This window comes from Homo sapiens, chromosome 6 (genome assembly GCF_000001405.40).
Source record: "Homo sapiens chromosome 6, GRCh38.p14 Primary Assembly".
Classification (NCBI taxonomy): domain Eukaryota; kingdom Metazoa; phylum Chordata; class Mammalia; order Primates; family Hominidae; genus Homo; species Homo sapiens.
Genome location: NC_000006.12, coordinates 8,996,392 through 9,024,113, shown reverse-complemented (window position 1 = coordinate 9,024,113; position 27,722 = coordinate 8,996,392). Strand labels below are relative to the sequence as shown.

Genomic DNA, 27,722 nt, shown 5'->3' with positions numbered 1-27,722 from the left:
CACGCTGTCACCTCTCAATATTTCAGCTGGGCACAGTGGCTCACGCCTGTAATCCTAGCACTTTGGGAGGCCAAGGTGGGCGGATCACCTGCGGTCAGGAGTTGGAGACCAGCCTGGCCAACATGGCAAAACCCCCTCTCTACTAAAAATACAAAAATTAGCCAGGTGTGGTGGTGCATGCCGGTAATCCCAGCTACTGGGGAGGCTGAGACAGGAGAATTGTTTGAACCCGGGAGGCAGAAGTTGCAGTGAGCTGAGATCACGCGACTGCACTCCATCTTGGGTGACAGAACAAGACTTCGTCTCAAAAACAAAAGATAATTAATAAATTAAATAATATTTAATAATTAAATTAAACTTTATTTTTAAGTACCACATTTCTGTATACACAAATACTACTTCAAGAGAAATGAAAATACTGTATACCAATAGCACAATGTTCTAAAATTCTGGCAATCAAATTCTTTAGTAGAAGGTGATATTTAACCATTATTTTTACTTTTTTATTTCTGGAAAAGGATATGCTATATCATCCTTTGGGTAATTTGAGTTTCTTTTGTTACTACCAGTCTGTGGCAATAGGGAATCAAGAAAAGTCTGTAGTCGTACCTTCCTAACGTCAAGTTTCTGGCTGTGACCCACTAAAAAACAGTATGGCCCGCAATGGTCTGAGGAGAAATATCTTCATAGCAAACAGTTCTCTGGACACTGAGAAAAGCAGAGCAAGACCATAACCCAAGACAAATTTGGTGACCCAGAATCCATGGGACACATTAGCAAGCTACTCACCAAGTTTACTGATGACCAGCTAGTTCCTCAGAATCCTAGAAGATAAGAGCTAGGCTGGAAGACAGATTAAATTCAAGAGTAATTTAGCAGTCACCAGAGCTTAAAGAAAATGCATATGCATGACTTTATAAATCATGGAGTCCTCAGAGACTGTCTGAAACAAAGCCAATTATAGGGTTTTCCTCCTCCTCCTTGAGAGAATAATTCTCCAGAAATTCCTACCTGCCTGACTGCAGTGTTAACTCACAAGTATTTGTATACAAAGCTGAAATTTGTTACTATATTAATACTCTTGATTGTTGGTATTCAGGTCTACCAGATACTACAAGTAGCAAAGGCAGAGCAGAAAATTCTAGAGAAAAACACGCTAATAACAGGAGATGCAAAAGAGACAGGTATGAATGCTGAAGGAAGAAACAGAAATAATAAAAAGTAGACACTGGACTTTCACTAGAGTTAGATGGGTTGAAGCCGACGTTAATGCTTCTTCTAACATATGACGCCACATGAAAATTATGCCAAGAACAAACGAGGAACTAAATTTGAAGAAAAAAGCAATGAAAAAGTAGGGTTGGGAAACCAGGGCTAAAGCTGAACGTGTCCCCTGGCGTGTGAAATGGAGATTACAATCCATTTTAGCTGAGTTCAAGGAAATGTAGACACTCAAGTTTAATTCCAAGAAATCATTCAGTTTAGAAAATCCTTTTTCTCAATGTTGACAAGCTCAAGTAAGATGATGGCCCATAGCATCAGGGCAATGCCAGACAATGAAAATCACAATGGGGAAGTGTTGGTGGAAAGACAGTGGATGTGGGAAGGTCCACGCCAGGCTCTGAGGTATGGGATTGGACATTCCCAGAGACACAGAAGGGAGGGGGCAATAGAGAAGAAATAACTGGCTCCAAATGACCTGGGCCTCTGCTTGGGGGTTCTGCTGTGAATTTTGTTAAGACTTTTGCTGCTCTTAATTTAAGGTGTAAAAATGTAAGATATAAAGAAATGCAAGTCTATTAAACCTCTTGACTTAGTAAAGAGTAACTCACTGTCTGCTGGGTTTCACCTCTTGGCTTCCAAAGAGGGTCAGGCAAGTTTGGGATGCTTTATTGCCCAGCTTGCTTTCAGAACCTCTTTCTTCTTGCTCCTTTCAGAAATTATTCTCCAACCCCATGTGGTTGTGATTGAGTTTCTCAGACTATTTTCTACTCCCCTACAAGGGTAGGCCCCAACTGCAATAATTGCTTTATACAAAGACAAGTAATTCATGTAGAGGGAAATTTCTGGGATTGATCCATAAGTGTCAGGAGCAAGACTTCCAATTCTTGCTGGAGTGGCTAATCTAGGAGGATGTGAGCCTGTGGTTGTTGCTTTGTCTGCCAGGCGTAGACAGCTTGCATGGGGAATGGAGCCAAGCAAAGCCAGAGAATGGAGACAGTGGTTTAATGTCTGTGCTCAAGGCCCTGGAGGCAGCTATCTTTAAGATATTTAAGATCTTGCTCCAGGCCTCACAGGTATTGAGCCAATAATTCATATGTTGCTGCTTGGTTCAATCATGCTCTTAATGATGGACCTGGGTCTCAAAAAATAAAACAACAAAACATAGCCTTCTAAGAAGATATAAACACATTAGGCCTGTGTTCCTAGAGGGCAAATTGCCATTTTAGTTACCATTGCATCACACAACCCAGCCTAGTGTCCGTCCCATAAGGACTGTTCATGGTTGAATTTAAATGTATATGTACTCTATTTTAGAAATATTATCATCATAGATAGTTAAACATAAGTCAAATGTTGATATTTGATAGACAACACTTTTTTTTTTGAGACGCAGTCTCGCTCTGTTGCCCAGGCTGGAGTGCAGTGGCGCGATCTCGGCTCACTGCAAGCTCCGCCTCCTGGGTTCACGCCATTCTCCTGCCTCAACCTCCCAAGTAGCTGGGACTACAGGTGCCCGTCACCATGCCCGGCTAATTTTTTGTATTTTTAGTAGAGACAGGGTTTCACCGTGTTAGCCAGGATGGTCTCGATCTCTTGACCTCGTGATCTGCCCCCCTTGGCCTCCTAAAGTGCTGAGATTACAGGCATGAGCCACCACGCCCGGCTGGTAGACAACATTTTAACTATGCAGTTCATTTCATTAGTTAGGGATGATGTATAAATAGTTCATGAGTGTCTGGATGACAACACTTTTTATTCCAGCTCTTGGAAAAAATTAATCTACCCAAACTTCTTGAAAGTATATGATTAACAAAATCAACAGGTATTTACATCCAGCTGTAGTTCTTGTTTCTCTACCTAACTTATTTAATGTAAAATGGCCATTTATTTATATAATATAACCATATAATATCCTTTCAAAGATGATAGTAATATAATAAGAAAGATGAGCATAACATAAAATATTTGCCCAAGATTATGTACTTATATGTAGGCAATATAGCAAGATACATTTTAAAATATTTTAAAAAGGTTCTGTTAAATAATCTCTTGAAACATTTTCTTTTCATAATATTGGCAGAGGTAGTGAGAACTCTAAAACTCTTGGATAGGCTTTTGCTATATTGTGCTGAAATAATTCTACAAACCTTAGAGAAGGAATTGGAAGAACTAGACAGAGTGTTCAGTCCAATAAAAATTATACATTGAAACAGTCATCTTACTTGTATTTACTAGATAAAATTATATACGGTAGCATTTAGAACCCTGTGGGGAAGCCTAGCATTTAATATTTTTAAGAAAATATAATTTTTAGCAAAAAGTCATTTATCAAAGTTGGTTTTAAAGGAATAATACCTAGCACTTTGGGAGGTCAAGGCGAGGATCACTTAAGCTCAGGAGTTCAAGACCAGCCTTGGCAAGACGGCAAGATCCCATCTTTCTTGCCTGTACTCCCAACTGCTCGGGAGGCTAATATGGGAGGATTTCTTGAGCCCTGGAGTTCAAGGCTGCAGTGAGCTGTGATCGAGTCACTGCACTTCAGCTTGGGCAACAGAATGAGACACCATCTCTAAAAAAGAAAATTTTTTAAAAATAATAATAAAAGCATATTTGTATCCATGTTCTAATTGTAGGCCACTGCAACATTTTTTTCTTACGTATTTGGCCACATAGTCTTCTGACTCAATTTAGTACTCTGTCAAGTAAATTTCTGTGATTCTTAAAGCCATATTGGGTAATTGTTTCAGGTTTTATGATTCATAAAAATAAGTTCATTGAGAATTAAAGACGTGGAGATTCATTTGTACTTCATTTCCTATATGATGACATAACTAGAAAAGCTGTATGATTAAATAACAATTTATTAGATATGCGTGGTTCTCTTTATTACACAAAGCCCTTTCACATATTTTCAGCCCGTCTCTCGTCCAGCCCTGCCTAAATGGGAATTGTTTCTATTTTGTAAATGAGGTAACTAAAGTTAAATGAATAATTACCCCCTGCTCCTTATCCCTACTTTAAAGGAGAATTTAATGTGCTTTAAATGAACAAGTAGCATTATTTATTCCATAAAAACAATAAGCTGACTACCGCAGCGCATATGAAAATGAATGAAATCCATTTTCTGGTTTCATGGAGCTTGCACTCCAAAAGGAGAGGCATGATGAAATATATTGACAGACAACTGTGTTTTTTAAAAAAAGCAAACTCAGAGTTTTGGAGCTGAGCAAAATCTCATCTGTTTGAAAGATTTGTAAAAATATATTATATTTGAAGTGGGACTTTAAAAATAGGTCATAGTGTTTTCCTTAATAAAAAAAGAAAAATACAAAGGATAATGCCCTTTTGTCTAGTATGAAATTTTGTCTCATGAGGAGAATAAGGGAAGTGGATGAGTTCATCAGTGAGTTACTCGTCAGAGACAAAGAAGCGACTGCATTGAAATGCTAAAGTCTAATTCCAGGTTTGTACTCCAAGGAGCAGCTAAGGGAGCAAATCAGGCATGTGGAGGGCTGGGAGGTATCAGAGTGAAGCTCTAAATCTTTTCGCCATTAGCTCCTTCAACTGAGTCTTTTTTACATACATGATGTAAATATTCTAGAACAAGTCCTTCTATTCTAAATCCAGCTTCAGCAACAAATTGAGAGACCTCTGGTAACATTCAGAAATACTTGGTCTTTCACCAGAACCCATGGTTAGTTTTCTTTAGCATCAAGTGTATCTCTAAATAAAATGTTATCACACACACAGGTAAACAGAGAATACTACACTTTACATTGACAACTTTTCTTCTTATTGGAGAGGACAGACATTGTGTTAGTCTTACTTGGAATATTCTGTTCGATTCAGCTTTACAAGGCAATGGAATTCTAGGGAGTTTCCTGCCTTCTCTGTCTTCATCTCTTAAAAACATGTTGAAATCCAGAACCTAGGTCTCAGTTTCTTCCTTCGAATGAATTGCTCTTTCTCATATATTACATGACACCTGTCAGTGGTCTCAGTTTGGCTTATTAGAAATGGAGTTTATGAAGTCAAGGTCACAGGTTCACTGTTATCCGAAGCCAGTTAGCTCATCCTTGCTTCATCACTGATGTCTGAACCCACCATTTGGTAGTCTTTTTACAGAAATCAGAGGTGAACTTGATATAACAAATGTGACTGTCCATGCACATTATTGCACCTATAGACAGATACACAAAGCTAGAAGTCGTACTCAGTAATAATGCACCAATCACAAATTTAGGGTAAGGGAGAGCAGGTTTTGAGTCCCACCATTAAATGACATGTAACCTTGGATGAATTAGATTTTAAATCTTAGGAAGTAACAAATGTCACCTTGTTTCTAGTCATCTGCACGGATAGTTCAAACTCAAATTTGCAAAACCACACTCATTCCCTTCTCAGCACTTTAAGTCTAATTTCACTCTTAAATTTCCCGGATTGGTGGCCAGGACCACTCTCAATCCTGTTACTGACGTCAGAAATCTAAGAATTTTCCTAGCTTCTTCCTCTTGTCTTTTCATTTATTAAAAAATAACACAAAACATCGGTCTCCTAAAATATTTCATATACCACCCAGTCTCATCTCAACTCACTCTTCCTTATTCCTGGTCTCTTCTATTTCTTGCTTGAATTACTGGAACAAATACCTAACTGTGCTCCTGCCTCTCTACACTCATTCCCCTTCTTTCTAGTCCTATCTACAGACTTCCTTCAATGACCATAGAGTGATGTCTGTTAGATGTGTATCTGATTATGCAACTTTCAGGCTTGATATTTTTCAATATTCTGCAAGGCCTTAAAGGTTGCAATTCAAACTTCTTCTCTTCTGACTTCTAATAGCCTCATAGTTCACATCAAACTCTGCCTCTTGCCATATTTTTCTCTCTAGTACTTTCTTTTTTCTTTTTTTTTTTTTTTTTGCCATTGCTTTCTGGTCTTCCCTCTATATGGAAAGTTCTTCTCCCGTTGAGCACCAGGGAAACTGCTACTCACCCAAAGCCAAAGTTTAGATGGCTCTTCATGTGCAAGATTATCTACAATTCACTGGGTCAACTCAGGTTTTCTTCCCGCAAGACCTCTCCACACCTTAGAAAATTTTCCATTGTATTTTAATTGTTTCTTCTATTTCTTTGCAACACATTCTAAGATCATTACAAATGGAAATTGCAACTTGATCTTTCTATTTCCCCTATACTTATCATAGTGACTGGCACAGAATGACACCTAATAGATATTTACGGAAAAAAATAAAGTGTGAATTTTTTTATTATTATTGAGGTGGAGTCTTGCTGTGTTGCTCAGGCTGGAGTGCAGTGGCTCAATCTCAGCTCACTGCAGTCTCCGCCTCCTGGGTTCAAGGATTCTCCTGCCTCAGCCTCACGAGTAGATGGGATTACAGGCATGCACCACCACACCAGACTAATTTTTGTATTTTTAGCAGAGATGGGGTTTCACCACGTTGGCCAGGCTGGTCTCGACCTCCTGACCTCAAGTAATCCGCCTGCCTCAGTCTCCCAAAATTCTGGGATGACAGGCGTGAGCCACCACGCCTGGCTAAAATGTGAATTCTAATTGGAAAGAACTGTAGTCTGCTAAGCACCTGGTAGTTTATATGTTTCAGTTTTAAGAGCAAGAGAGGGTTAATTGTTCATCAAGGACAATCCAGAGCTGTAGGGACATGAAGGGTAAAGATGATCCTGGGTGCTGACTGGGAGAAAGGCTAAATTAGGAACCTCAAAATCAGGAGGAGGATGGCTCAGAAAACATGGATGTCTCACTGACATTTTTACCTTGCTTCCTGCAGAGTTCTGTGCGGTGTGATCATTTGCTAATGCTCCCCAGCTCTTCAATCATGATTATTAAAATAAAGCAGGTTTGTGTACACAGGTTTGTGTGTGTGTGTGTGTATGTGTTTATGTTTGCGTAAGAGAGAAAGAGAGGAGACAGGGAGTGAGAGCAAGGGTAAGCATGAGAGAGAGAGACAGAATGAGAGAATCTCCTGTTTACCTTTGAAAACAGGTGGGGATTTGTTTCATTTCTGGGTAGGTGTGCTACGTACAGCATCACCTAAGTGCATAGGTGCATCATTTTACACTCAGATACCCAAGCAGCAGAGGAAACCATGTGAACTCCTCGAGAAATCTTGAGCATACGCTTTGAAATAAAGGGTTTGAATCAGTCTTAGCAGTGAAGAGTAAGGAAGCTCCCCATCTAGCGTCTGAGTGACAGTAGGAAGCCTGATGCAGCTTCGTGTTCTAATAAACACAACTTTCTACCTTGCTCCAACTTTTCATCTCCAAAGTCTGAAACATGCCCTCGTGATGAATTAGGGAGGTTCATCCACCCTTTCTGTTTTCTGGTTGGTTGATCACTATTCTGTGGGTGTGAATATCCAACTATTTCTACCTGGACCAATAAAGTGATCACCAGAAACATACTCCTTGATGGATGAAATCATTTCCTGGTGCATTCCTGCAGTGTAAATAATTCAGTAGTCTTGTCTCTCATAGAAGGTCAGTCCTGAGCTCCTCCATCCTTTAGAATTGTGGTTTTGGCATGCACGCATCACAGTGCATTCCTTCTCATTGCCTTAGACATTAGCTTTTCAGGGTTTTGTTCGTGAAGCTTCCCAGGTTTTCATTAGTTCATTCGACTTGTTGCACTATACTTATATCAGGACTCTCGGGGAGCTTTATTATCCATTATATTACTTCACTGCATGGGCCAGGCACCTTCATAATTAGGCTGAAAGAAACTAAAAGCATTGCTCTCCTGGGCACAGCTTGGGCAGCATCATCAGATCAGAGGGTGTTGTAAGCTGGGAGATGGCCATTAATGATCTCCAAAGTGCCAGAGCTCTGCCAGTTTCAACTGATTCTCAGCAAACTTCATTTCCTTTTGGGGTGTAAGATTTAAAAAATAAATAAATAAATAAAGTTTAACCCTGCATCATTCACATGTGTTTACTGTAATTACCTATCCCCAGACCCTTGTGTTCGCACTTCTTCTTCTAGGAAAGGAATATGGTGACTTTGCTGTTTAATTTATAGGACATTTTGTAACCATTATTGCAAAATCATTTTGTTCTATTCTCATTTAACTTTCAGAAAGTTCACAAATTCAATTTATTATTTTCTACTGACTTTAATCTCCTTGCCAGCTGCCCTGCCCTCCTTTCTCTTCTCAAAAACAGTCACAGGGCCACAAGATATACCATGGAGTTACTTCATGGTCGTAATTAGTATTTCTTCGCCAGGTCACTGACGGATAAAAACAAATCTCCCTTTGATCTAGGCCACCCTCTTGCAATTCTCCCAACACTGGTTCCCTTAAGGCTCATAAACTTTGATGTAAGAAGCCAATCAATCATTTTTTTCTCCCACACCCCCTTTTTCCAATATTTTCATCTGAAGTAGATGCATTTTTATGGATTTATTTTTATTTTAATAAATGTTTATAAATTTGCTGAGAGATACTCCTAATACCAGTGACCCTGCATCTCTGGAAGACCAGGCATTTCCCACTACAATTCTGTTCCAATGTCCTCATCAGCACTTCATAGTTTCTTACGTAGGGCTATTTCTCTTTACCAAGATTTTCTCATCTCACTGAGCTCTGGCTATCCCTCCCAAATCAGAACATCACAAACCTGCTTATTTTTTAAAATTACTTCTTTATTTTTAGCTTTTCCTGGGCTTACTGCATCCGCTTATCTATGTTATAAATAGATTCAGAAGAAAGGAAGTTTGAATAAATTGGGACATAGCATGTCAAGATGTCAGTTCTTCATAAATGTATGGATAAACTTAATATCATGACAAGTAAACTCTCTGAAAAATGATGTCTTTTGAGCAGGGACACACTTGCGCTGGAGGTTCTAGCAAAGAATTCATTCTCGCCCTTTCCATCTTTTGTCAGCTGCCGACATTGCTTGGCTTGTGGCTACATCACTCCAGTCTCTGCCTCTGTGTCACACTGCCTTCTCCTTTTCTGTCTGAAGTCAAGTCTCCCTCTACCTCCCTCTTGTAAGGAAGCTTGTGATTATTTTAGTGAGCACATGTATAATGTAGGATAATCTTCTCATCTCAAGATTGTTGACTTAATCACACCTGTAAAGACCATTTTTCCACAAAAGGTGACAGTGACAGATTCTAGGAATTAGGACATATGTATCTTTAGGGTGAGGAGCATTTTTTTTTTTTTTTTTTTTTTTTTTTTTTTTGAGACGGAGTCTCGCTCTGTCGCCCAGGCTGGAGTGCAGTGGCGGGATCTCGGCTCACTGCAAGCTGTGAGGAGCATTTTTTACCCTGCCCTACTGGCTCACTCATATTCTGCCAGTAGGAATGTAGTTGGGACAACATCAGGAAACAAGCTGTCAATGTGCATCACAAACCTGAAATGACCACACACTGTAGTACCACTACAATGGTAATAGTAAGTCATTGATGGGAATCATTACATTTATGAAAACTTTATCAAAATTATTTTAAAAATAGTTACTCTAAATATTTAACAATGAATAAAAATATCAACAAATAAAATGAAGTCTTGTCATTGTTTTAAATTGTTGTGAGAAATGTACAATTGAATAGGGTTCATGAGAAAATATTAAAGGAAAAAACAATAAACCAATAAATGTATTATACATCGTTATCATAACTATATTTATTTTTATGCCATTTTCATATTATTAATATGTTTATGGGCACATAAATACAAATTACCCACAGAAGTCTGTAGGCAATTTTATGCTTTAATAGCCCCAGAAGAATAGGTACTACCAATTGTTTTTACATTTTTAAATGACTATTTATTTTACTTTTTGTAGTTTTGTGAATTTTGAATTATACATTTGTTGTTGCTTTTGTTAGGCAAGCAGTCTTTGTATTTTTCCAGGAATTGTCCACTTCGTCTAAATTATCATTTTTTGGTAATTTTTATAATACCCTCTTATTTTTTAGCAAATGTTTAATTTTAGAATAGCTTCAGATTTACAGAAAAATTGCAAAACTAATACAGAGAATTCTGAATACCCTACAGCCAGTGTCCCATATTAGAAACTTAAATTAGTACGGAATATTTGTTACCACTGATGAAGCAATATTGATACATTGTTATTACTTAGGGTCCATAGTGTATTTAGATTTCCTTATTTTTTCCCTAATTTCCTTTTTCTTTTCCAGGATCCCATCCAACCATGTCACTGAAGTAGTGTTTGTCAGGTTTCTCCACTGTAAAGTTACTACCTGCCCCTCTTCCCTTTCCTTACCTCTCTCTTTGGAAGATATCACTATAGACAGCCCACACTTACGGGAGGAGAAGTTTATGCTCCACTTTCTTGAGGGGTGACTATCCACATAAATTAACTGAAATTCTTTTGCATGATAAATATTTATTTTATACTTTGGATATGATATTCATTTTCTTGCTCAAAGTTGTTCATCTTTGGCCATTGGGAGCTCTGCAATTGGCTTCTGTGTCTCTTTGACATGCTCCTGACCCCACTCCATCACTGGGTTTTATTTTAGTACATCCCTATCTCCCGGTACTACAAGAAGCTCCAAGCTTATCTGGTATATTCCTTATTCCTGCCTTAGAAACAGTCATTTCATTTCTACCTCGATCCCTGGTTCTTTTTATTGGATAGTAGTATTAGATTCTGATCTGAATATTGGGTGTTCTTGTTGTTACTGGGGCAAATAACATATATATATATATATATATATATATGTATATATATATATATGTATATATATATATATACACACATATATATATACATATATGTATGTATATATATATATATATATATATACATATTTTTATTTATTTATTTATTTTTTTTTTTTTGAGACAGAGTCTCTCGTGTCGCCCAGGCTGGAGTGCAGTGGCACAATCTCAGCTCACTACAAGCTCTGCCTCCCAGGTTCATGCCATTCTCCAGCCTCAGCCTCCCGAGTAGCTGGGACTACAGGCGCCCACCACCACGCCCGGCTAATTTTTTTGCTTGTATTTTTAGTAGAGATGGGGTTTCACCGTGTTAGCCAGGATGGTCTCAATCTCCTGACCTCATGATCCGCCCATCTCGGCCTCCCAAAGAGCTGGGATTACAGGTGTGAGCCACTGGGCCTGGCCGCAAATAACATATTTTTAATTTTAATTTTTTTACTTCAATTAATGTTTGCTCTCCTTAATTAGAGGAACTGAAAACATACATTGAAGTTTATCATTCTATATTCACCAAATTAATAATCTAAAGAGATTTAAATAACCATACTTTTAAGTAATGCTTTTGTTAATTTGTAGCATTTACATATATGAGAATATTAAAACTTAAAATTGTACTAAGCCTTTTGAGACACCCTGTTTATACAAATATTTATTTAACAATGATACTTTTTTATTATCCTCTGTATTTTTTCAAACTTTCTATGCAATGCAGATATTCTAAAATTCTCATCGCTTTTCGGCCTTTTGGCTAAGATCAAGTGTAAAATTCTCATTAGTTCCTTTTATTAATAAAAATTAAAAGTTGAGAAAATTTGTGTTATGCCAAGAGTCACTAAAAATAATTATAATGCTACTTAATAAATATTAATTGAGTCTTTTCTAAAAGAAAGACACCATAATAATAGATGTTAATGGTAAAATTCAAGTCTAAAATATAATGCTCCTGCAAGCAATTTATAATCTATTAGATAAAACACATTTATTCAACTAACTATAAAAAATAATGTGATAAATATTAACCAAAAAGAACAACATAAAGCTTAATTCTAGTGAAGGAGAGCATAATGAATTCTGACTTGAACCTCAACAAATTTCCTGGAAAAGGTGGCATTTATTTTGTCCCTAAAGACTGAGTAAGATTTTGACAGCCAGGGTAAGGGCATTTCAAAAGAGTATGAAGCAGAAATAATGAAATAGAAAAGGTCAGAGACAGAAAGATGTCCATTTTGACAAAGACAAAGAATGAATGGGAATGTTTATTAGAAGTCTGGGGCTTGAGGCTGCTCTGTCTATGGAGTAGCCATTCTTTTATTCCTTTACTTTCTTAATAAACTTGCTTTCACTTTGCAAAAAACAAAGAAGTCTGGGGTTTGAAAAGTAGATTGGGAAAAGATCCTTTCAAAGAATCAGCTTTTCTTTCATTATTATTTTATTTTTCCATAAGTTATTGGGGTACAGGTGGTATTTGGTTACATGAGTAAGTTATTTAGTGGTGATCTGTGAGATCCTGGTGCACCCATCACCCGAGCAGGATACACTACACCATATTTGTTGCCTTTTATCCCTCGTCCCCCTCCCACTCTTTCCCCAAGTCCCCAAAGTCCATTGTGTCATTCTTATGCCTTTGCATCCTCATAGCTTAGCTCCCACATATCAGTGAGAACATGTAATATTGAGTTTTCCATTCCTGAGTTCCTTCACTTAGAATAATAGTCTCCAATCTCATCCAGGTCATTGCAAATGCTGTTAATTCATTCCTTTTTATGGCTGAGTAGTATTCCATCATAGACAGACAGACAGACAGACAGACAGACAGACAGACAGAGATAGAGATATATCACTGTTTCTTTATCCACTCTTTGATTGATGGGTATTTGAGTTGGTTCCATGATTTTGCAATTGTGAATTGTGCTACTATAAACATGCATGTGCAAGTATCTTTTTCAAATAATGACTTCTTTTTCTCTCAGTAGATACCCAGTAGTGGGATTGCTGGATCAAATGGGAATTCTACTTTTTGTTAATTAAGGAATCTCCACACTGTTTTCCACAGTGGCTGTACCAATTTACATTCCCACCAGCAGTGTAGAAGTGTTCCCTGTTCACCGCATCCACACCAACATCTACTGTATTTTTTATTTATTCATTATGGCCATTCTTGCAGGAATAAGGTGGTATTGCATTGTGGTTTTGATTTGCATTTCCCTGATCGTTAGTGATGTTGGGCATTTTTTCATGTGTTTCTTGGCCATTTGTATTCTACAATGAACTCAGACAAATCACTAAGAAAAAAACAAACAATCCCGTCAAAAAGTGGGCTAAGGATATAAATAGACAATTCTCAAAATCTGCTTTTCTAGTATCTGTTTAGTCAACAGGGGTGGAAAGGAGGAGAGGACGTGACATATTAATAAGGGCTATCTGCCTGCACACTGTGCTGAAGTTTTTGTTTTTTAATGCATGTACTCATTTAATCTTTATGATCTATCAGATAGGTCATAAAGATATAAACAATAACTACTGTTACTCGTGGCTTTCAAAAGATGAACTGAGGCATCAAAAAGTGAAATAATCCAATTGATCAAGGGAGATAAAAGGAAGGAGGTAGAAGATGACTCCAAGATGACTAGTCTCATTTTTTGGATGAAATTTGATGCCTTTAGTGCAAGGAGGAAGGGAAATTTTGGTGGAGTAAAAAATTATATATTAAAAATCATTGAATTAGGCTGAGACAGGTGGATCACCTGAGGTCAGGAGTTTGAGACCAGCTTGGCCAACATGGCGAAACCCTGTCTCTACTAAAAATACAAAAATTAGCTGGGCATGGTGGCGCGTACCTGTAGTCCCAGCAACTCGGGAGGCTGAGGCAGGACAATTGCTTGAACCCAGGAGATGGAGGTTGCAGTGAGCCGAGATCTGGCCACTGCACTCCAGCCTGGGTGGTGAGTGACAGAATGCAACTCATCTCAAAAAAAAAAAAAAAAATCATTGAGTTATTGCTTAACTCGAAGCACCAGGAAGTAGGAAATTTGAAAACCAGAGTCATTAACAGAGAGCAGGTCATGGACATGATTGAGGTCTCACTGGTAAAGAGTGTAGATTAGAAAGAAAGGGGGTCGGGGAATCTCAAGGACAGGAGGAAAACAATAATAACAAATACTATTATAGAGTGTCTCCTATGTATCATGCATATGGTATATAGACTCACCTTAAATAAAGACTTTAACACCTATTTAATTGTTTAGTCTAAACCTGCCTCCTAATATATTTTAAGTCTAGCCTAAAGATTTCTCCATACACAGAGAACTATAAAGGTAACCTAACTGGATGTGTAAACTTTCTGTAACTTATTCTCCTACCAACCACAGAGTTCAGCCAGTTGCAGGCAGGCAACAGCAACTGTTCAAACTGTGTTCAAATAAGGCAAATGCTGAGCTGTAACCAATTCAGCTGTTTCTGTACCTCACTTCCATGTTCTGTGCACTGCTTTCCTTTTACTGTCTATAAATCTACTTAGACCACGTGGCAGCGGCAAAGTCTCACTGAGCCTATTCTGGTTTAGGAACTGCCCAATTCATGAATTGTGCTTTTGGCTTTGTTAAATTCTGTTAAATGTAATTTGTCTAAGGTCTTTCTTTTAACACAATATTTTCACCTTAAAAGAAAGATTATATCACTTTTCAGACCTTTAAAAAAATCGGCTGGGAGCAGTGGTGCATGCCTGTAATCCCAGCACTTTGGGAGGCCGAGGCAGATGGATCACCTGAGGTCAGGAGATCGAGACCAGCCTGGCCAACATGGTGAAACTCTGTCTCTACTAAAAATACAAACATTAGCTGGGGGTAGTGGCGGACAACTGTAATCCCAGCTACTTGGGAGGCTGAGGCAGGAGGATCTCTTGAACCCAGGAGGTGGAGGTTGCAGTGAGCAGAGATCGCACCATTGCACTCCAGCCTGGGCAACAAGAGTGAAACTCCGACTCAAAAATAAAATAAAGTAATAATAACAACAGTCATACTCCCTAAATAAATGATAGTGACAAGTAATACTTCTAATGTTTCAGTTTTGGGCAAAAACACATTTACTAATTTCCCTTACACAATAGTTTCTAGAATGAAAAACTATATGAAACAACTTTGAATTGTCCACCAGTGTTTGGGCAAATGTGTTGCTTGCAAATGTGCCCTGAGAGTGAGGAGGACAGCTGCATCTTCTGGACTCTAAGGTATATTGTATGATTGTACAATTTCCACTTCTTTCAAAGTGCTCTCTCGTTCATCCTTTATTTTGCCCTAAGGATGTTTTTTATGCTCTTTCTTTTCAAGTGTAGTTTTAGTGCAACATACCAAGAGCCTCACAAAGATTGAAAAGTAGATAGAGAATGCTGAAAGAAGAAAAAAAAGAGTATCACAAACTTTCATTATGTTATGTTATATACGTAAACTTTACTTACTTTCAAACAGCGTATACAATGTATTTTGGTTGTTTAATTGATATATTTTTCTATATATGAAAATCATTGGGAGCCTAAGGTTAGGATGGATTATGCCACAATTTTTTTGTATAAAATACCGCATTTTAAAAAATTCTATTTGTTGGCCGGGCGAGCTGGCTCATGCCTGTAATCCCAGCACTTTGGGAGGCTGAGGAGGGTGGATGACCTGAGGTCAGGAGTTTGAGACCAGCCTGGGCAACATGGTGAAACCCTGACTCTACTGAAAATACAAAAATTAGCTGGGCATGGTGGCGCACACCTGTAATTCCAGCTGCTCAGGAGGCTGAGGCAGGAGAATTGCTTGAACCTGGGAGGTGGAGGTTGCAGTGAGCCGAGATCGTGCCAGTGTACTCCAGCCTGGGTGGGGAGAGCAAAACTCCATCTCAAAAAAACAAATTATATTTGTCTTTTGTTTACTGGCTTTGCACTTAATGACAGAGCTTTCAGGTACAAATAAAAGCCATTAGGTGAGGGATAGGTGTACATTATCTTTTTTTTATAAGAACTCCTGTCACAGGTTTAAAAGGTACAAAACTTAACCTTTATGTTCCAGCATCACGGGTTATTTCTCCCATTTCTCATGGGGGTGTTGATGAGCTTATATGCAAAGTGTGGGGTGGGGAGAGAGGGGTGAGGAGGCTATCCAGCTGCAATACAAATCCACTGAATTGGGATCCATCTATTTACTGATGTAGCCTGCTCAAGGTCTATGCTGGCTATTTCAGTGGCTGCCCTCAGCAGCTGGACCTCGGCTCAGACCCACCACATGCCACATCCTGGAGGATGCACCTTTGGCAGGTCCCCTGGCTAACAGATGGAAGTGACGCAGCTCCCACCTGCTCCCTGGAAATGGGACGTCCACAGAGATGTCAGTCATACCCTTCATGACTACCAGTGATGACTGTTCACACTGCATCCTAGGAAGTATGTTCTTCCACGCAGGCTGTGAGAATCCAGGAAGGTCCACTGACTTGCTTATTTGTTGTTGCAACTGGACCTCAAGTTCCTTGGCTCTCTCTAAGTAAAAATTAGCTCCAGGACAAACCAATTTTCCTAGGCAAGGTTTAATAGGCTTGCGACTGGAGATGTGCCAGGGAGCAGCATACAGGGGAGGGGTCCTGATGCTCCTTCCCCAAAGGGCCCAGCTCTAGTCATCTTAAAGAAGTAGAGGCAGAAAAAGGAGTGATGTGCAAGCATGTTTAGGGGTTTTCTTAGAGCTTGTGCAATGAGACATTACGCCCTAACTGACATAGAGTGATCTGAGAGCGGCAGATTAGCTCCACCTTTGGCAGAGATTTTAGTATTATAATAAGAAAAAAAGTTGATGAAAGGTCAGTTCTAGAGTCCATCTTATCTTCAGCTGGCTGCATCTGGTTCGGTTCTTATCAGAAACACCAAAGTCTCCCTTTAGCAACCTTGAAAGATGATGAAGTCCTTAAGGAATGCTAGAGTTCTGCTTCAACAGCCTTGGAAGACACGACTTCAAGGAGATAAATGGTGAGGTTCTTCTTTTTATGGTTAGGAATTCAGGCTGGTCAGCTAAGTTGAGAGAGGCCTCCTTTCTGCTACATAACTTGGGTCAGCCTGTTAAGGGAGGCAAGAAAACATGGGATGGAACATGGCGGACATGTGAGGCCCATTGGGATCTTAGTGACCTTGTCTTGTGTCTGCCAGGACTGAGTCTCTTCCCTGACCTGTCTCACATCAGAAAATTTCAGTGCCTGGAGCCCATGAGAAATCACACACCGCTCTGCAACAGCAGGAAATTTGCATCTTGGGCTCACTGCTCATTTCTGCTGTGCTGCTCCAAGATGGCTCCAGGCAACTGCCCTGCCCACCAAGGCTAGTGGACTTCCAAAGGGACACTCTAGGAAGTGAGATCCAGCTCCTGTCTATGCTTAAATGTAAGCTCTCTGAAGGCAGGGTCTCTGTCTTCTTCTGCTCACCTGGACATCTCCAGAGTAGGTGTTCAGTGAAAAAAAAAACAAAAAAAAAACAAAAAAAACTCTTACTAATCACTGAATGTCATCTAGGAGTTGGTTAATGATACAAGAATGGTGTATGAAGACCCCATATTGACTTCCCTCTTGCCTTCCTCTTCAAAAAGACTTGACCCCCATTCCCTTCCACAAGGTCTCGTTCAAATTCTTCAAGCACTCTTTTAAACTGGTTCAAACTCTTCAAGCACTCTTTTAAATATGTTTTTATCTTATTCCTGGATAGTTTTCTAGAACTTAGAAGTCAAAAATTGAACATCTGCATTTGCAGGTTCTACTGTAACCACTTTCCTCAGCATGAATTAAATCTTTTCATTATACCTGGGCTGTGGAAGAGGGAAGGAGAATATTTGAGGTAACAATAAAAAATAACTATTCCACTATAGTGTTAATATCCCTATTTCATGGAAGATGATTCTAAGGTTCAGAAAGATTGAGTGCCTAATCAAAAACCATACAGCTTGTAAATGTTGGTGATGAATTTCTAACACCTCTGCTGTTTTCAAAACCTATACAATGTCTCTTTTTATACCACTATAAGATGCTATTACACTGGCTGGGGAGCTGGGAAGGCACTGCTTCCTTCATTGCACTTCCTAATCATATTTCAGCTCAAATATTGTTTCCTCTGGAAACACTTATCTAATCCTCTTAACCAATCATTCTCAATCAGAAGGTGATTTTGCTCCCCAGGGAACACTGGTAACGTTTGCAGATAGTTTTAGTTTTCCATACTGGAAGGGATCATTAGGAAGGGGAGTCAGACACCCAACCAGCACCTACTAGTATGGCCAGGGGTGCTGCTAAACATTCTACAATGGACACTACAACCCCCACAGTAATGAATGACACAGCCTCAAATATTCATTTGTGCTGAAGTTGAGAAACTCTGCTCTCAACAATGCCATCTCCCCCTGCTCTGTGCTATGACAGCAACAGCACCAGGTATTGCCCTGTCATAGTGCTTATTAGAGTTTGTAACTCTGCATTTATTATACATTTAATTACATGTTCAAAATTTCTTAGTACCTCACCATTTCCACGAAAGTGTAAGGTTGGTAGAGGGACCATATAATTTATTGCCCAAATCAGGACAGCTCTAAGGTGTTAGTAATAAATACACTGGGACAACAGGTATAAATGGGCTATGTCATCTGAGTCATAGGAGACTGCGGAGGTAGAGGGTAGTGTTGAAAGCCTGATGATAGTGGCTTTGTGTTAAATACAAGATGAAGAAGGGAAAGAAGCAGTGAGTAGAATCTACTCTTAAGTTTCATGTTGAAGAAAACGAGACGGATAAAGTAAACCTGAAGAAAAAAAAAGAGTAGCATGGATATGTAAACATAGGGGATGGGGAAACTAACCCTTTGTCTAGTGGTGAGAAAGTTTCCATTAGAAAGGGAAATGTTGTGATTGTATACAAAAGTAGATGAAGAAATATCCTCCAAAAGAGAAGGGATGGAGGGGAGATCAGGGGCTTACTGGTGCTGTTCTTCAGAGACACAGGGGTTGATGAGGAATAAAATAGAGCAGTTTCTCTCAAATGGCTTTTATCTTCTCATTGAAGTGAGAAGTAACAATGTCTGTAACAAGGAAAGCAGGGGCTGTAGTGAACCAGACTATATTTTAAAGAGCTCTGGGAGGAAACATTCAAGAGGGTGTAAACATATGTGAATAACAAGATGGCCAGAAAAGGCCAGCAGGTTGCCTGAACATAGGGAGCTTGGAATTGTGGGAAAACCAAGCTGAGTAATGAGTTTTCTTCTGGATAGTCAGTGGTTGTCTGAGTCTTTAACCACTCAATTCCTAACATCCACAGGCAGGCAGCCAAAAGAATAAGAATTACCAAAACAATAATGTTCTGGCATGTTCTGCCTGAATCTCAGCCTCTAACCCGAACTCATTCGTCAGGTTACTCTTCAATCTCAGTGTATTAGTCCTTTCTCTGCTATAAATAAATACCTGAGACTGGGTAATTTATAAAGAAAAGAGGTTTAATTGGCTCATGGTTTTACAGGCTGTACAGGAAGCATGGCTGGGAAGACCTCTTAAAACTTACAATCATGGCAGAAGACAAAGAGGAAAGAGACACATCTTCCCATGGTCAGAACCGGAGGAAGACAGAGAGCAAAGGGGGAGATGCTACACACTTTCAAAAACTAGATCTTGTGAGAATTCACTCGCTATCACCCTATCACCAGAACAGCAAGGGGGAAATCCATCCTCATCATCCAATCACTTCCCATCTGGTCCCTCCCCAAACATTGGGGATTACAATTTGAAATCAGATTTGGGTGGGGACACTGAACCAAACCATATCACTCAACTTCCATGCCTGTTCTCAGCATTGTTTTTACAACTTTCCAAAATCCTCAGCTGCCAATCACTTCCTTCCTTCTCTGGGCACATTTAAAGGGAGTCAGGGAACAGAGAGAATACTGACACAATTGATCACAATATCCAGCTTAGAGAGGAAGAAATAGCATCACTCAGGAGAGGGGGGTAACCAAGAGAGTTGAAAGAATACCCGAGGAAACTTCAGTCAATGTGAGGGATTGGGAAAGTCAGAGAGATGATGGTTCATGGTCAGATGTGAGAATTTCAGACTTTGCATTGATAGCATGGACATATTTTTACACAATGACAAAATTCGAGATGTGGTCATTAGTGCGGGTTGGTGGAGTCAAGAGGGAGAGGGAGGAAGAGGAGGGGGAGAGAGAGGGAGAGAGAATTAATGTATGGCAAAGAACAATCAGTGTCATACTTTTCATACATTTGGTAACCTCTCTCTATTTTGCCTATTGTCATAGTATAAGCCGTATGTTGGAATCTATGTCAAAATCCCAGCCAAATTTGCAAAACTGATAATTTTGTAATCCACTGGTCTAGTGATGAAAAACACTGTAAAAGAAGAAACTGATAAACCCAGAGAAGACCAATAAAACGTTTTATCTTGTTGGTCCAAAATAGGTGAAATCCTTAAAAACTTAATAGATTATTAGAGGCAGTCCTGTACAATTGATTGGTGACAAATAGACAAATATTTTAGCTCTTCTTCTTAGATAAAAAAAATACACAGAAAAGTCACTGGCTTTTTTCAAGTGAGAATAGCTACTCAAGAATCTGTTCTTTTATCTCTAACCAGAACAGGAATTCAACCTTTGAATTCTGGAGCTAGTCTTTGTTCCAGCTTTACAGTGAAATCTATCTGTCTCTCTCCCCACCCATCACTCACTGCTGTAGGGCTGTCTAAGATCTCTGATCACTAAGTAGACACTAATGCCAAATGACAGAGAAACTGTTTTATTGGTGTTTTATTGTTGTGAACAAGTGAAAATACAGGAGGTGAGAATTGTAGTTGTGTTTCTTTTCATTTTATTTCTTCCTTTTTCTTTTCTTTTAAATATGTTTTTCCTTGGTGTTTAATATTTTTAAACTTCTGCACTGTGAAAGTTGGATCCCGTATCCATGCAGCATAAATATATGACCATGTTTAAACAGGGATACTTTGAAAATTTATTTGCTATCTATCCAACTGGAGGGAGGACTCCAGAAACCTTGTGGGTGTGCACAGAAACTCTCCCTCCTTTCATTTGTGAATGCCTAAAACATGCCCAAACGAGCCAGAGTATGGAACTCGAATCTATAAGGATCTCCCAGGTACCATAGCAACACATCACAATAGTTTTTATACAATATATCATGTGCATGAGAATATTACTGTGAGACTCGTTTATGTGTAGATGGTTGATAAGATCAACTCCAGCTAACCTGATTATTACAATATTATGGAGTTTCATGTCTACACAGCTGCCTTATGAACTTGAACGCGTTTATTGCTCTGTTTGGGGTAAATATGCAATTACTCTGATAGCAATGATTTGCAGAGGTTAGAAACATGTTAAATTAAAAAGACCTGAAATTATACCATGAATCCAACTTTTGAAATACTAAACCTGTGTTGAAATAGCTTCTTCTTTCTGGATTTCTCTCTTGAAATAACATTGATTATTAATGGCTGACTATTACAGCAATAGATATTTAGAGACATAGAAAATAATCACATGGCATAAAGAATAAATTAAAAATCATCCTTAATTGTACCATTAAAATATAAATTAAAAATATACAATTTTACACAGTTTATCTACTAAAAGATTATTTTTGTATATTGTTTTCCTATTTAACTTTTTATTATGAGCATTTTCTCTACATCCCATTTAATTAATGATACTTCATTTAATTGGGTTCTAAGGTTGGGTATTTAGTCTATTTCTAATTTCTCTATACTATAAATGAGGTAATAATGAAATGTTTGTCTATGTTTGTATTAGTCCATTCTCACATTACTATAAAAAATATCTGAGGCTAGGTAATTTATAAAGAAAAAAGGTTTAATTGGCTCACAATTCTGTACAAGAAGCATGACAGTATCTGCTTCTGGGGAGGCCTCAGGGAGCTTTTACTCATTGCAGAAGGCAAAGTGGGAGCAGGTATCTTACATGGCAGAAGCAGGAAAAAGAGAGAGAACGGGGAGGTGCTACACACTTTTAAACAACCGTATCTCATAAGAACTCACTCACTATACAGTACCAACAGGGGATGGTGAGAAACCATTCTGGAAAAACCACCCCCACAATCCAGTCACCTCCCACCAGGCTCCACCTCCAACACTAAGGATTATAATTCTACATGAGATTTGGGTGGGGACACAGATCCAAGTCATATCAATGTTTTAACATATATGTCACATACAGTCTAGAATTGGAACTACTGAATCAACCGATGTAAACTATTTTAAACTTTAAACATATATTCCTTCCAGAAAGGTGGGCATACAAAGATTTGTATTTCCTTTTACTCACATGCCACTTGTTGCTATCATATAAGACTCTATGGTTTGATCTGCAATTAAAAAATTATATTGTTTTGCAAATGTTTTATTACTAGTGTTGAATCTTTCTTGTTTATTGCACATTTACATATTTTATTTCACAAAAGATATGTGTTCTTTTCTCATTGTGATTAGATTTGGGCTTTAATTTTTTTTTTAAATTTTGCTCTAAAAGAACAAAGCTGGAGACATCATGCTACCTGACTTTAAACTACACTACAGGGCTACAGTAAACAAAACAGCTTGGTACTGGTACAAAACCAGATATACATAGACCAATGGAACGGAATAGAGAGCCCAGAAATAAGACTGCACACCTACAACTATCTGATCTTTGATAATAAATGGTGCTAGGATAACTGACTAGCCGTATGCAGAAGATTAAAATTGGACCCCTTTCTTATACCATAGACAAAAATTAACTAAAATTATGTTAAACACCTACATGTGAAACCTAAAACTATAAAAACCCTGGAAGACGACCTAGGCAGTCCTGGTCCCAGGCAGCCCTGGAAGAGGACACAGGCATGGGAAAGATTTCATGACAAAGATGCCAAAGATGCCAAAAGCAATTACAACAAAAGCAAAAATTGACAAATGGGATCTAATTAAACTAAACAGCTTCTGCACAGCAAAAGAAACTATCAACAGAGTAAACAAACTACAGACTGGGAGAAAATTTTTGCAAACTATGCATTCAACAAAGATCTAATATCCAGCATCTGTAAGGAACTTAAACAAATTTATAAGGAACAAACAAACAACCCCATAAAAAAGTGGGCAAAGCACACAAACAGATATTTTTCAAAAGAAGACATACATGCGGCCAACAGTTATATGCTAAAAAGCTCAACCTCACTGATCATTAGAAAAATCCAAATCAAAATCACAATGAGATGCCATTTCACACCAGTCAGAATGGCTATTATTAAAAAGTCAAAAAATAAGAGATGCTCGCAAGATTGTGGAGAAAAAGGAATGCTTATACACTGTTAGTGGGAGTGTAAATTAGTTCAACCACTGTGGAAGACAGTGTGGCAGTTCCTCAAATACCTAAAGACAAAAATGCCATTCGACCAGCAATCCCATTACTGGGTATATACCCAAAGGAATACAAATCATTCCATCATACAGACACATCCATGCACATGTTCATTGCAATGTTATTCACAATAACAAAAACATGGAAACAACCTAAATGCCCATCAATGATAGACTGGATAAAGAAAATGTGGTACATATACACCATTTAATACTATGCATCCATAAAAATGAACAGGATCATGCCCTTTGCAGGGACATGGATGAAGCTGGAGGCCATTATCCTTAGCAAACTAACACAGGAACCAGAAAACCAAATACCACATGTTCTTACACATAAGCAGGAGCTAAATGATGAGAACAAATGGACACATAGAGGGAAACAACACACACTGGGCCTATTTGAGGGTGGAGAATGGGAGGAGGGAGAGGATCAGAAAATATAACTAATGGATTCTAGGCTTAATACCTGGTGATGAAATAATCTGTATACCAACCCCCATGATACACATTTACCTATGTAACAAACCTGCATATGTATCCCTGAATTTAAAATAAAAAATTTTTAAAAACGCTTTGCTTTTTAGGACTTGAAAATACTTTCTTCATTTTTTTGGCTTTCTTCACAATTTTATTTATGTATATATTGTGTTTAGAAATCTGTTACTTTGAAATATATATAAGAAAACGTATTGAAATTTTTATTAAGAGATCTCTACTCACTTTTATGATCTCTTTGTGAGATTAGATGAAAGTTTCCAAAATTTTCTTCTAGGTGTTCTATTATTTCAAAATTTTCATATAGTTGTATAAATCTATCTGAAAAGTGCCCTAATGTGTTCTATTATTATAGGTTGCTCATATGCCTTAGCCAAAATGGATTTGTACCTCGTATAATAAAGCAATATTAAGCAAAGTCCACTTCTTTGACAAGAATTTTTTTTTAGAATTTTAACTCTAATTTTGACAAAGAAAATGCTTCAAAAGTATGAAAGACATGCGTGAAAAAATGTAGCGTATCAATTAATTAAAGGTGGGTGCAAGGGAATAAGAAATGATTAACATTTCTTTCCATTAAATGTTTAATGGAAAACATTTACCCTGGAGAAATACTGACATCTTTTTTTTTTGCTCTAATAACAATAATGATATTTAGACATTGCCTATTACTTTATCAGTGCCTGACTCGTTTAAATTTTATTGCTGCTTCAGGATACAAGTCTATTTGTGTTAAGAATACATGCTACTCAAATAGGAAAAAAACCAGTAGTCTGCCATTAATGTATTTACCAGTTTATTGTGGGATAGCATAATTTTCCAGGCCTATGGACTCTGAACATTTTTAAAACTTTTTTTTTTTTTTTTTTGAGACGGAGTCTCGCTCTGTCGCCCGGGCTGGAGTGCGGTGGCGCGATCTCGCCTCACTGCAAGCTCCGCCTCCCGGGTTCACGCCATTCTCCTGCCCCAGCCTCCCGAGCAGCTGGGACTACGGGCATCCTCCACCACGCCCGGCTGATTTTTTTTGTATTTTTTTAGTAGAGATGGGGTTTCGCCGTGTTAGCCGGGATGGTGTTGATCTCCTGACCTCGTGATCCGCCCACCTCGGCTTCCCAAAGTGCTGGGATTACAGGCGTGAGCCACCGCACCTGGCCAATTTTTAAAACTTTAATCATATTCTATCACTAGGCATTTAGGTTGCTTCACAAATAAAGTTTTGCCAATTTTTTTTCTTACCCAGAAATGATCAACTGTGCAGAATAATCCAAAAGTTATTTAATTCTTGTTTGCCATTTTATAATATGTTTGACAGGTATGAAGAAGTTTTTCTTAAGTGGAATACATGACAATTTAGGTTAACTGTGGGTGGTACAGGATAAATTATTTTTTCTTTAAATTAAGAGGATTCTTACATTTCCTTGATTAATTCAAATATCCACATATTAGATTTGCATAAGTCATGGTATTTCTTTATTTAACATTATTTACTGTATCACTTAAGTCACATACTGAGGTACCACGTTCAAATCAGTTTTGAAGCATGCGTCATAATTGATGATTTGCCCTATTATGCCAATTATTCCCACATTATTTTTAGACGTTTCAGCTACTTTCAAGCCTACCCACCCATATAAATATTTTTGCTTTGTCTAATTTGAATTTGCTAAACAGATTTTATGCAAGGTCAATTCTCATTTAGACATGAAAAATAAAATAATAAAAGACAAAAATCACTATTAAAAATTCCTAAGCACCACAATTGACTTGCTTTTGTTGTGAACTGGGTGCAATTATTATCAAGCTAAGTGCCTCTCAGTAATCAATATTAATTATTTCTGCAAGGGAGGATGTAAATCAATATTAAGAACTTTCTGGAGATTTCACAGATCTCAATCAAGAATATGTTTGCATTTGCATCCACTGTAACAAGAGCCAGCTGGGAAATGCACCATTTGCTTGAAAAGGTGGGAAACCCCACCTTTTAAAAAATCTCTGTGTCATTTTTGCAGACAAAGAAAGCGAAGTGCTGAGAAGTTTCTTGTAAAAGTATTACAGTGAGAAAAGTAAGAACATATATAACCAATTTTTCACACGAAAGTGAATGATCAACTCTGCAGAATAATCTATACAATCTTAATTTCTATTTGACTTTTTTATCTTCTGGTACTTCATTTTGCATATAAGGCATACATCTCCCTAGAAATCCCCAAAGAGCAAGAAGGGGGCTGAAGGTTGGAAGAGAGAGAGAGAGCTCATGGGAGCCTGGACTACATATTTCTCCTATGAGATCTTTTATTACCCCAACATTTCCCTCATATCTTTCCATAGCTTATTTGCCTGACTGGATTCTTCATTTGGGCAGGGTCTTATTTATCTTGTCCCCTTCTCTAGCTCACTTGCCTAGTACAGTGTCTGGTCATGGTAGGACCTCCACTGTATGTATTCCTTGTGTGTCAGTTCCTTGCAATGAACAAAAGCAAGGAAGGACAGACAGATGGAAGGAAGGAAGAGAAGTAGAGGCAAAGAGGAGAAAGAGAGGAAGAGAAGGAGGGAGAAATGGAGGGAGGAAAGAAGGAAGAAAGGAAGAAAGCAAAGAAAAAGAGAGGGAGGGAGGGAAAGGGGAAGAGAAGAAGAGAGGGATGGAGAGAGGGAGAAAGAAAGAAAGAACCAGTCTAGCAGATATCTTAATTTCTTGCAACTGACTCATTAAAAGTAACATTCATTTCCATTATACAAAGAGCAAGAAACAGAAAGAAGTAACTGTCATCTTCACCAGCTCTCAAATTGTCTTCAAACTCTAGCTGTATCATTTGGTTTAGAATTTGGAAATTCCTGGGCATAGATGTAACGATGTTCAGATGAAAGTTTTAAAACTGCATTCCAGAGCATTTCAATCTGTAGTATTTCATCCTCAATACTATGGAGATAGGAAATAATATATTATACCAAGAAGGCATTTGACATCTATTAGTGAGTTCATCTGTAACACTAGGTTTACCCTGGAAAGTTCAACTACAACATACGGTAATAAAGGGACCACATTCTAGAGAAAACATCTCCTAGCTCCTTCTCCTTTTCCTTCCCCTCCTCCTACTTTCAGCAACATACTTCAGAAAAAGATAAACTCTCTGTGCTCCTGTCCAATTAGATCAGACTTTTAAAAAGAGGTAAAATCCTGATGTGTTCTATGCAGCATTTGAAAGTATACTTCCTAAAAGATTAAGTTATTATGTTTAAAGTAACATGAGTGTTTTAGCTGTATTACCACTTGAACAATTCTTATGTCAAAACTGCGCAATGCTTTTTACAAAACTTTAATATACCCATTTAGGGTTCTTGGTTTAAATTGGTATTTAAGTTCTTGACTGTGTGTATTAATGGCTATCACAAAGTCGGCTCTATCATTGATAAGCTAATCTAAACTGTGTTGTAAAATAACCTGTTTATCACATAACACCAGAAAAAAAAATGAACCATCTTATACCAGTCAGAATGGCTGTTATTGTTGGCCTGGATGCAGAGAAAAGAAAATCCTTATACACTGTTTTCAGGAATGTAAATTAGTTCAACCTCTATTGAAAATAGTATGGAGATTTCTCAAGGAAATAAAAATAGAACTACCATTCCACCCAGCACTCCCACTACTGGGTGTCTACGGAAAGGAAAATAAATCATTACATTAAAAAGATGCCATTGGGAGACCAAGGAGGGTGGATCACGTGGTCAGGATATTGAGACCATCCTGGCCAACATGGTTAAACCCTGTCTCTACTAAAAATACAAAAATTAGCTGGGCATGGTGCTGCGTGCCTGTAATCCCGGCTGCTCCGGAGGCTGAGAC

General features: G+C 38.2%; 1 long non-coding RNA gene across 5 annotated transcripts in view; it reads right to left on the bottom strand.

Annotated features, from left to right (window-relative positions):
- LOC105374914 (uncharacterized) overlaps positions 1-27,722 on the bottom strand; it is a 91,755-nt gene that overhangs the window by 27,549 nt on the left and 36,484 nt on the right. Inside the window, exon 3 of one of the 5 annotated variants that reach the window (XR_001743954.1) lies at positions 15,842-17,035. The exons of the other annotated variants lie outside the window; for them this stretch is intronic. This is a non-coding gene — a long non-coding RNA (uncharacterized LOC105374914). Of the gene's footprint in view, positions 1-15,841; positions 17,036-27,722 lie in introns of those variants that run through there. 5 annotated transcript variants of the gene reach the window in all.